This window comes from Homo sapiens, chromosome 1 (genome assembly GCF_000001405.40).
Source record: "Homo sapiens chromosome 1, GRCh38.p14 Primary Assembly".
Classification (NCBI taxonomy): Eukaryota; Metazoa; Chordata; class Mammalia; order Primates; family Hominidae; genus Homo; species Homo sapiens.
Genome location: NC_000001.11, coordinates 74,180,630 through 74,192,784, shown reverse-complemented (window position 1 = coordinate 74,192,784; position 12,155 = coordinate 74,180,630). Strand labels below are relative to the sequence as shown.

Genomic DNA, 12,155 nt, shown 5'->3' with positions numbered 1-12,155 from the left:
GAATATAGAATACTAGTTTTTTCTGTAATTTATTACTCATGTTAATCTTTCCTTTTAATAGCAATAACCAGTATTATTATGTTCTGTTTTGTAATTTTTAAAAATATTAAGGTTGTTTATATACTGGCAAATACATATTGTTGGCAGAGGTGAATATTAATAGAGAAAATGAATGTAAATTAATATAGTGTATGGGGAAGACTGCTTATAAGACTAAATTATTTTAGTGTTCATATCACATCAACTAAAAAGAAACCAGTTGAGAAGATTTTAAAATATTGAATACATATGAAACAAAAATCAGTAAAGAGGAACTGAAAAATATGTTTTTAGACACATATTTCGGATAAGATTTGGTATTTGAGAGGAATACAAGAATTGGGAGAGAGGATGACAGGTAAGGGCTGAAAAGAAACTACCTGTTGGGTGCTATGCTTACTTCTTGGGTGACAAATTCATTCATACTCCAAATTGCAGCATTATGCAATATACTTTTGTAACAAACCTGCACATGTACTCCCTGATTCTAAAATAAAAGTTGGAAAAAAATTAACTCTGAATGTCCTAACAGATAAGGAAAGGATACATTTTGGAGTGAGATTTATTATTGCATGGTAAAAGTAACCACAGTGAGTATATGGAAAGACCTCCCCACTCTTCACTAAACATGTGAACTACAGGTTAATGGTTAGATGCTTTACATTGTAGAAGAACCTACATATAATCTGAGTAGAGTATTTATTTTTTATAGAGACTATAGATCTTTATGGACTCTTCTGGAATGAGATGATGATAAAATATGCCCCTCCTCCCAGAATATTTGAGAATATAATTAAGAATTACAATTTTCTTGAAAAATATGAGAAAAATTTTCTCATATTTACTTTGGATTAAATTTGCTGCTCTTTTTCAAGTTCTAGAAATGGCAGCTTATATGATTCATTTTAGATCTTTGCTCTTTTCTAATATATGTATTCAGTGCTATGAATTTCCTTTTAAGCACTGCTTGTACTATATCCCACAAATTTTGCTAAATTTTACATTTTATTTTTATTAGTTCAAAATATCTTTAAATTTTTATTGACCTATGTGTTACTTAGAAGTGTGTTTATAAATCTCCCAAGTATTTTGGAATTTTCCAGCTGTTTGCCTGTTATTGATATCTAGTTTAATTCCACTGTGGTCTGAGAGAAGATGTTGCATGGCTTCTGTTCTTTTGAATTTGATAAGGCATGTTTTATGGCCCAGAATGTGGTCTGTCTTGGTGAGTGAATGCTCCATGTGAGCTTGAAAAGAATGTATATTCTGTTGTTGTTGGATGAATTAAAATAAAACTAGTTGCTATTATTATTTTGGACAAATTATTCAACTAAGAATAAGAAAAATAAGAGATTTTTATTTTATCCTCACTTGTTCCTTTCCCAACACTCTTTCTTAACATAGATATGAGTATCTGACCTATATCATTTCTCTTCTCTCAGAACTTCTTTTAACATTTCTTACAAGGCAGGCCTACCAACAACAAATTACTTCAATATTTATCTAACAGAATTTATTTCTTTTTCACTTTTAAAGAATAATTTTGCACCATACAGTGTCCTTGATATAGTTTTTGAAGCATATATTTTATCTCGAATTGTTAATGGAACTAGGCATTCAATTAATTTTGTAGAGCTTACTGTATTAGTCTGTTTTCATGCTGCTGATAAAGACACACTCAACACTGGGTAATTTATAAAGAAAAAGAGGTTTAGTGGACTCACAGTTCCATGTGGCTGGGGAGGCCTCAGCATCATGACAGAAGGTGGAAGGCATATCTTACATGGCGGCAGACAAGAGAGAATGAGAACCAAGTGAAAGGGGTTTCCCCTTATAAATTCTAGGTCAGTGAGTTTTTTTTCTCTTAACACTTCAAATATTTCACTCCACTATCTTCTGCCTGCATGGTTTCTGATAAATCAAATGTCGTTATTATCTGTGATCCTTTATAAGTAAGATTTTTTAAAAATTCTTTGGCTTTTTCCAAGATTTTTTTTTTACCTTTGATTTTCTGAAGTTTGTATATTAATTATCTAGGTGTGAGGTTGTTTTTTTTTTATTTTCTTACATTTATCCTACATGATGTTCTCTGTTTCTTGAATCTGTGGCTTAGTGTCCGATGTTAGAGTAAATTGTCATTCATTATTGTTTTAAATACTGCTTTTATTCCTTTCTATTTTTCCTTTTTTGGCATTTTTATTACACGTATGTTACACATTTAGAAGTCCCACACTTCTGGAATGTTATGTTTTTTTTCAGTCTTTTTTTTTCTCTTTGGTTTTTAGTTTTGAATGTTTTTGTTGACATATCCTCAAAGTCAGAGATTCTTTTATCAGTCATGTCCCATCTACTAATGAGCCCTTCAAAGGTATTCTTCATTTCTGTTATAATGTTTTTGGTCTCTACCATTTCTTTTTTATTCTTTCTTAGAATATCTATCTCTCTACCTACATTATCCATTTGTTCTTGTATGTTGCCTACTTTTTCTATTAGAGCCATTAGCATATTAATCCTAGTTGTTTTCAATTCCCAGTCTGATATTTCCAACATCCCTGACATCTGTGTGTCTGTTCCTGATGAGTTTCTGTACTGCCTGTCTGTTGCTCCAATTTTGTGGTCAGCAGTTTACCCTATGACCTTACTTTGTGTAGCTAAGAAAAGTTGTTGATTTTTAGTTTGTTCAGCTTTCTAATGTGTTGTTAGGATGGAGTGACTACTCCAAGCTCCTTACATGCCATACTGGAAACTGCAGGTCCCTTGATACACTTTTTGAAGCATATATTTTATCTTGAATTGTTAATGGAACTAGGCATTCAATTAATTTTGTAGTGCTTACTGTATTAGTCTGTTTTCATGCTGCTGATAAAGACACACTCAACACCGGGTAATTTATAAAGAAAAAGAGGCTCAGTGGACTCACAGTTCCATGTGGCTGGGGAGGCCTCAGAATCGTGGTAGAAGGTGGAAGTCACATCTTACATGGCAGCAGACAAGAGAGAATGAGAACAAAGAAAAAGGGGTTTCCCCTTATAAAACCATCAGCTCTCATGAGACTTATTCACTACCACAAGAACGGTATGGAGAAAACTGCCACCATCATTCAATTATCTCCCACTGGGTCTCTCCCACAGCAAGTGGAAATTATGGGAGCTACAATTAAGATGAGATTTGGGTGGGGACACAGCCCAACCATATCATTAAGTGCCAAACACTGTTCTAAACCCTTTAGGTTGACTTATTTCGTCCTCATAAAAATTCTATGGGCTGTTATTATTATCTTCTTTTTACAGATAAGGAAACTGAGGCACAGCATACATAATTTACTTGAGATCACCAATCTCAGAACAACTTACATTTCATTTCCTTTTTCTGTACTTAGTTTATAGGGTGCTTGAAAAATAAAATGAACTTGTCGTAACCAGTAGAATGTGGCTGAGGAGACGCTTCAGTTGAACCTAAGCCTTAGGAAGTTTGGACAGGTTCTGCTTTTATGCTTTGGGAGCCCTTAAGCATGTAGAAAGTCTGGCTACCCTATTTCAGACACACATGGATAGATGACATGGAGAGGACAGGTCAACATAGAGAGGTCCTGAGACAGTATGGAAAGAAAGACTGGTTCATCTCAGCATTCCAGCTGAACCTAACCTTCCAGCAGTTCACTGGAGGAGTGAACTAACTGATGCTTCAGCCACTGTCAGTTGGAGAACTGCTTACTTCAACTGAGTCAACACACAGAATCTTCAGAGTAACAAAATGATGGTTATTTTAAGCCAATAAATTTTGGAGTGATTTGTTACACTACATAAATAATTGAAAAATAAACCTTTTTTGTTGTTTTGCAAGTGATTATTGGCTGTGGAGAATTAAAAATAAAGGAATTTACAATAGATTTCTACCGAAATGGGAGAGACTTTGTCATTTGTACTTAGAAGTCTTTTACAGGTTCCTTCCCCATAGTTTGCTGTTTCTCTGAGGAAAGGAAAAGACAGACATGTGTATGAAAGAGACATTTATTGAAACCTGACTCAGTTCTAGTTCAGGTCCTATGGAAAAATTTGAAAAACTACCTAACCATAAAACAAGTTTTCTGTTCACAGGGTACATATAATTTAGTGGAAAACAGGGCCATTAAATAATAACATATATAAATATGTAATCACTAAATTGGGGATGTGTGGATAGAATCAGAGTCTAAATAATGACTAGACAATAATTTGCCAAAGAAGGTTACACTGAGAGAGAAGTGTAACATCCTAAGATAGCAGGTTAGCACATTTCATTAACTAAGAAGCCAGGGTTCTTAATAGTTTGGATTTTTTAAATTTTTGCTTTAAGTTCAGGGATAGATGTACAGGTTTGATACATAGGTAATCTTGTTTCAGGGTAATTTGTTGTACAATTGATTTAGTCACCCAGGTGTTAAGCCTAGTGCCCATTAGTTATTTTTCTTAATCCTCTCCCTCCTCCCACTCTCCTCCCTCTAGTAGGCCCCAGTGTGTTGTTCCCCTTTATGTGTCCATGTGTTTTCATAATTTAGCTTCCACATATAAGGGAGAAAATGCAGTATTTGGTTTTCTATCCCTGCATTTTTTTGCTGAGGATAATATCCTCCAGCTTTATCCATGTTCCTGTAAAGGACATGATCTCATTCTTTTTATGGTTGTATAGTATTCCATGGTGTAAATGTACCACATTTTCTTTATCCAGTCTACCATTTATGGGCATTTAGGTTGATTCCATGTGTTTGCTATTGTGAATAGTGGTGCAGTGAACATACGTATATGTGTCTTTATAATAGAACAATTTTTATTGCTTTAGGTATATACCCAGTAATGGGATTGCTGGGTCAAATGTTGTTTCTGTTTTTAGGTCTTTGGGAAATTGCCACACTGTCTTCCACAATGGTTGAACTAATTTACACTCCCACCAACAATGTATAAGCGTTCCTTTTTCTCCACATCACCAGCATCTGTTATTTTTTGACTTTTTTTGTTGTTTTTTAATTTTTATTTCAATAGTTGTTGGGGTACAGGTGCTATTTTGTTACATGGATAGGTTCTTTAGTGATGATTTCTGAGATTTGAGTGTACCTGTCACCCAAGCAGTGTGCACTGTACCCAGTATGTAGTCTTCTATACCTCGTGACCCTCCCAACCTTCACCCTTGAGTCCTCAAAGTACATTATATCATTCTTAGGCCTTTGCATCCTCACAGCTTAGCTCACACTTATATGTGAGAACTTATGATATTTGGTTTTCCATTCCTGAGTTACTTCACTTTGAATAATAGCCTTCTGGGCTACATCCAAGTTGCTGCAGAAGACATTGTTTTGTTCCTTTTTGTGGCTGAGTGGTATTCCATGGTGTGTGTGTGTGTGTGTGTGTGTGTGTGTAAACATATACCTATATATATATATCTATATATCTCTCTCACATTTTTTTAATCCACTAATTAGTTGATGGGTACTTAGGTTTGTACCATATCTTTGCAATTGTGAGTTGTGCTGCTATAAACATGTATGTTCATGTGTCTTTTTTATATAATGAATTATTTTCCTTTGGATAGATACCCAGTAGTGGGATTTTTGGATCAAATGGTAGTTCTACCTTTAGTTCCTTAAGGAATTTCCATACTGTTTTCCATAGTGGTTATACTAGTTTACATTCCCACCAGCAGTATTCCCTTTTCACCACATCCACGACAGCATCTATTGTTTTTTGACTTTTTAATTATGGCCATTCTTGCAGGAGTAAGGTTTTAATTTACATTTCCCTGATGATTAGTGATTTTTTTTCTTGCTTATAATAGTCATTGATTAAAGCTAAAAAGTAGGCAGTTGAACAAAATGGAGGAAAAGACACTGCATTAAGTAACATCAAAAAGATCTCAAATTTGAATTTAATATATCCTTAATTACACTAGTACTTAATTCTTACAATTTTTTTTCTAATAGACATCTTTTTGATTGAAACTGAAAAGTAAACTGTTGTACAAAATGGAAAAAAAAGGCATTGAATTAAGTAATATCATGAGCATTATCCCAAATTTGGATTTGTGTGAACCAATATTTCATTTCTTCCTCAAACTCTATGTCTTATTTACAAGAAGTTTTCAAGTGAGGCAATAGTGCCAATCATACCAATTCCCTTATTATATATTACAAATTTTATGTAGAAAAATATTTGAACATATTTAAGAATTTTGGTGGGAGGGGACAATGTTATTTTATCAGGTTCATTACAACAGTATTTGTTAATGTCACAAAGCTACTAACAAGGTTATTCATCTAATAGCTAAAATTTGAATGTCTCACACAAGTGTAGAACCTCTCATTTTGGAAAATTCTCTAATATATCTGAGATCAGTAAGGAAAATAGAAAAAACTCCACTTTGGAATAATACCATTAGTAGTTCATTGGCATGTTCAAATGGCATATAGATAGCATTAATGCAGAAGGTTTAAAATAAACAATTATTCCTGGTGGATGAATCTATAGACATTACTAACTATATTTGATTAATAGCACTGTTGAGAATCCCTGAAAATAAATGCCAGGAAGAAGATAATATCTTCATAAAGAAATTTCAAAATAGACTGTTAAGAGATGGAATAATCAATGTGAGAAATAAATCCTTTGAAATAAAAATATTTATATATATTTATATAGCTATATATTAAATATAATTATATATATAATTTTGTGTACATATATATAATTTGTGTACTAATGCCATGATTAACAGTATAAAGCCACCTTTAGCATTATGTGAAGAAATGAGATCTCTGAGGTTCCATGTTGATCGGTGTTGGTTTTTCAAGGACTTTTTTTTTTGAGACGTAGTCTTGCTCTGTCGCCCAGGCTGGAGTGCACGCTCCTGGGTTCACACCATTCTCCTGCCTCAGCCTCCCGAGTAGCTGGGACCACAGGCGCCCGCCACCACGTCCGGCTAATTTTTTGTATTTTTAGTAGAGACGGGGTTTCACCGTATTAGCCAGGATGGTCTTGATCTCCTGACCTGGTAATCCGCCCGCCTCAGCCTCCCAAAGTGCTGGGATTACAGGCGTGAGCCACTGCGCCCGGCCCTTTCAAGGACTTTTTATGCATTTATGAGCTAAAAATGAAATGAAAATTAAGAAAATGAAAAGGCAAGCCACAGAATGGGAAAAAAAAACTTTGGAAAACACATATCTGACAAAGGATTGGTATCTGAAGTAATACAAAGTACTCAAACTCAACAATAACACAATACCACAATCAAAATATAATGGACAAAAGATCTGAACAGATAACTCACCAAGGAAGATATACATGTGGCTAATAAGCCACATGTATGAAAGATGCTCAACATCATATATTATTAGGGAATTGCAAATTAAAGCAATGAGATACCATTATTCACCTATTAATATGACCAAAATCAAAACATTGACAACATTATGTACTGGTGAGGTTGTGGAGCAATAAAATCTCTCATTCATTGCTGGTGGGAGTCCAAATGGTACAACCACATTGGAAGACAGTAGCAGTTTTTTACAAAATGAAATATATTATGTGATTCAGCAAACAAACTCCTTGGTATTTATCCAAGTAAGTTGAAAACATATCCACACAAAAACCTGCACATAAATTTTTATAGCACTTTTATTCATAATTGTGTAAAGTTGGAAACAGCCAAGACATTTTCAATAGGTGAATGGATAAATAAACCAAACCATAGTGCATCCATGCGATGGAATGTTATTCAGTACTTTAAAAAATGAGTTATTTTTCTAAAGACTTGGAGGAACCTTAAATTTAAGCTTTCTTTAAATGAGGAAAGACTTATATCTTTTCTATTTTGGAAGTCCAAATGATGTGTATATTATCCTACATCCCAGCACCAATAGAGCTTCATGAGTTTAATTTGTAAAGGTTTATTTATATCTGTGTATTCCATATCTGACTCTATATTTTTAAGACTGGTTTACTTGTAGTTGAGGCTAATCTTTCATAAGGTGTTCGTCGATCACCTGTTAACATTATTCCTATGCCCTTAGCCCAGAAATTCTGATACAGTAGATATGAGATGGGGCCCATGAATCTGCCTTCTAATTAATTCATTGACACTTAGAGCTGGAGGATTCTAGTTTTAGGCCTTGGTTGTGATATATAAAGTAACCAGTGTCTTGAAAGAGTACAAGAGTGTATCTGGATTTTCACATTTATTCTCATTTGAATCACACTGATTTAGTTTATCTGCACATCGTAGAAATCGATTCTTCCATTGGGGAATGTTGATCTTAAAACATACTTCCAAATAGACCACTTCAGCTCATACATTCTCTTCTCACCTATCACTGACTACCTTTTATGAAAGCTGAAATTACTCTTAATAAGTGAAAATTCACATATATGAGAAATACTGTGTAAAATTATATTAAAAACCATTTATCCAAATATTTTAGATAAATTTAAGTAGTCAAAATTTAAAGCTATTAGAATTCTGAGCCTAATTTCCTAATTGAATTGAATGTAAATATTTTGACAACAAATTTTCTCTGTAAGACACAAATATTGTTGATAACATTTGAAGGCCTGTATAGCACCTTTATTTTATCTGGCTGCATTGTTTAGCCTCTTTAACAAAGATTATCACTCTCCTGACTTGTTTATTATTCAGTGTATTTCTTTAACAGTATATTTTAACAAAAATTATCATACGAGTTATATAAAGTATGGTTTCATTTGTTTGTTGTTAGTTGTCTTGTCTAGAAGGGATGATTTTATCTCAGTTTCTTCACTGAATTTTTCAAATATTCTATGAAAATGGAAGTTTGTCTTCCTCTTGCTAATTAGTTCGTTCACTGGTGAGGGCAGTGATAACATTCTGATTGGCTGTTATTGAAATGTTAGATATTTAAGTTATTTTGGGATAGAAAGTTCTATAAGAATGAGTTTTTTTAAATTTTAACTTTAATAACACTTTTTACTTGCGCTATCTCTTGGCAAAATTTTGTTTGTTTTCAGGTAAATTTTTGAAAGTGGAAAAAAAAATCAAAGCACTTTCTTATCTTTCCTAGATGTTTCATGGAACAGTCACAGAAGAGCTAACCAGTCATGAAGAATGGAGTCACTATAATGAAAACATAAGAGAAGGTCAAAAAGATTTTGTTTTTGTGAAGTTCAATGGCCTTCATTTAAAGTCTATGGAAAATTTGCAGTCTTGCATCTCTCTTAGAGTATGCATCTTCTCAAACAATTTTATTACAGATATTCATCCACTTCAAAGTTGTATAAAATTAATCAAACTTGATCTCCATGGAAATCAGGTAAGCAATAGCCATTTCAGATATTTGCATATAAACGAAATTTCAGTCTTATAATAAGTACTTATGTTACCTATCCACAGTATTTCTTCAACATGGTCTTTTGTCTAAAATATAAACAAAAATTTAACAATAAATTAAAAGCATGTAAGATGTATATAAATACGGACACTTTGATGTAAATGAAAATACATAAATAGTGTGTAATCTGGTATGTTTCACTTCTTAAATCTATAGCCTGGATTAAGAATGCCTCATGATTCCTTAATTTTCCTTAGGTAAGGAAAGTATTTTAGAAAAGTTTAAAGAGTCAACCTATTACAAAGAAATTTTCTTTGAACAAAAAAGTATGGTTATGCATTTTACTATGCGAATAATAATAAATTATCTCAGATACCCAGTGTATTATGGTTTTCAACTGGCCATCATTGGATAATTATAAATACTCTGTTTGCTTATTAATTAGAAACTTGCTATTTGGGGAATATTGAATTTTATATGTGTAATATTTTACCATTTTCTGTGCTATTCGAAAAAAGTAATTTTGGAATTTAAAAGATTTTTAATAATATTTCAGATAAAGAGTCTACCAAATACCAAATTTTGGAATGGATTGAAGAACCTAAAACTACTCTATCTTCATGACAATGGGTTTGCAAAGTTAAAGAATATATGTGTATTATCTGCCTGTCCAACCCTCATTGCCCTCACTATGTTTGATTGTCCAGTAAGCCTTAAAAAAGGATATAGACATGTTCTTGTTAACAGTATATGGCCTCTCAAAGCGCTGGATCATCATGTGATTTCTGATGAAGAAATAATTCAGAACTGGCATCTTCCTGAAAGATTCAAAGCATGTAACCATCGACTTTTCTTTAATTTCTGCCCAGCTTTGAGAAAGGTAATTGGCTTCTTTAGGGTTTCATTTTAATTAAATGTATAAAAGGGAAATTTTAGCTTCTGAGTTCTATATCTAAATTATATAAACTTTTTAATATTTTTGCATCATTTATATAAAATAATATAAACCAATGAATATATTTGTAATGTCTTTCTATCTGAAACTTGATAAAAGTTTGCATGCCAACTACATTAAACAAAGCCTGAAATGATCAAATTGTAGAGAAACAAATTTTTGTTTTTTAAATTGAAAGTAAATCTCTAATTTATTCAGAATTTGGTATATGAAAGACTCCATTGAGAAATACTTAATGTTTTTTAAGAGCGTTAAAGGATGACTTAGATTATTATTAGAAGATAAAATATTTAATTCTTACACAATTGATTTGGTTATTTGACAAGATAAAACCATCATTATCTATTGATTTATAAAATGTTAGAAGAAGTGATTGTGAAAAGTTGATACCAAGTTAACGGATACAGACTAATTAAGTGGATTTACAAAAACATAAGGAAACGTTCTTTATAACACATGAATAAATATTAGAACAAATCATTTAAGAGTTCAAAAGAGGGGGTTAAATTAGGTACAAGATATAGTAACAATAAGTTGCAGGAAATGTTTGTAATATGTTCTAAAGATATGTGAAGTCACATATATGTGTGTAGAAATTTTGAGGAAGAATAGAACATAATTTTGAACAGTGAGTATATCTAAAAGAATATATAAACATTGAACAGTGATTATGCGTGGAAAAACTGAAAATTACAAAGTTGGAAGAATTTTATTACTGCATATAATTTTTTTAATTAGGGACATATTAGTGATTTTGTAATAGTTTTAAAAATTTAGGATTTTGGTAATAATTTTGTACTAATAGTTAAAAATATAAAAAACAAGGTAGTATTTAAGTCTGATATCTTAACCTGGGCCCTAAATAAAGAATTTCACTTAGGTACTTCAGTTGCGTAGTATGGCATAATGAAAGGTGGCAACAGGCATGACCCTTTTAAGGATAATCGAAGTGACAGATTCATTTAAGGAAGTAATGGAAAGTTGGGCAGTGGGCATTGAGAAAGAACTTGGATGACCTACTAAAGAGCTTAGACTTGATGAATATAATGAAGATTAATTGAAATTATTTGAGTAGGAAAATTAGGGTAGGTCCCTCATAGTAAGTGCTCTATGAATAAATGGTATTGACAAGGTTTTTAAAAGGTGATCAACCCAACATTTTGCTAGCAGATTAATGGAGGATAGAAGCCAAATGAGGGCAAGGGGATCAATTACTGTAGGTTCAAAATGATGTGATTAGGATTGATATAGGCAGATACCAGTAATAAAGAAGAAAGAACACAGTGTAGAGGACAGACACATATTCAGTGAATGCCATTGTGGTAGGCGCTTTATACATTTTATTTCTTCATTCTTTCACCAAGTATATACTGAGTACCTAATATATGAAAAGGACTGTCTGGGACTTGGAGATTCAGTGGTAAATAATACTGACAAAATTCTTGTCCTCATTAAGTCCAAGGGAAAGGCACAGAGAATAGACAAATCTGGAAACAAAAATAAAACTAAACAACCATAAAATGTCAGCTAGTGTTAGTTGCTAAAGAAAAGAAAGTAAGGCATTAACACAGACTGAAAGGGGTAGAGATTTGGGCTACATTAGCTAGGGTGGATGGGGAAGGCCTTTTTGAAGAATATTTATTCCTCATTGTTTCCTTGGATGTGGAAAAATGTTAGTCTTATTTTACAGGAGAAAATGAAGCATAGTGAGGTTTAGGAACTTACCCAATATTGGACAGCAAATGAGTCATGAGGTGGGATTTCAACAAGTCTGCAGTCAACATTGCATCACAAATGACAGACAGTGCAGAGATTTGAGTGTACTTTTCACAC

The 12,155-nt window shown here is 32.8% G+C and overlaps 1 protein-coding gene across 8 annotated transcripts in view; it reads left to right on the top strand.

The window, feature by feature from the left end:
• The window catches only part of LRRIQ3 (leucine rich repeats and IQ motif containing 3), a 172,162-nt gene that overhangs the window by 5,392 nt on the left and 154,615 nt on the right, over window positions 1-12,155 (top strand). For all 8 annotated transcript variants that reach the window (XR_007079570.1, NM_001322315.2, NM_001105659.2 and 5 more), the window contains exons 2-3: window positions 9,101-9,349; window positions 9,924-10,247. Coding sequence is in view for 7 of the 8 variants with exons in the window: in NM_001322315.2 (NP_001309244.1) it covers window positions 9,101-9,349; window positions 9,924-10,247 (573 nt within the window). In the remaining variant the exon portion in view is untranslated. The remainder of the gene's footprint in view (window positions 1-9,100; window positions 9,350-9,923; window positions 10,248-12,155) is intronic.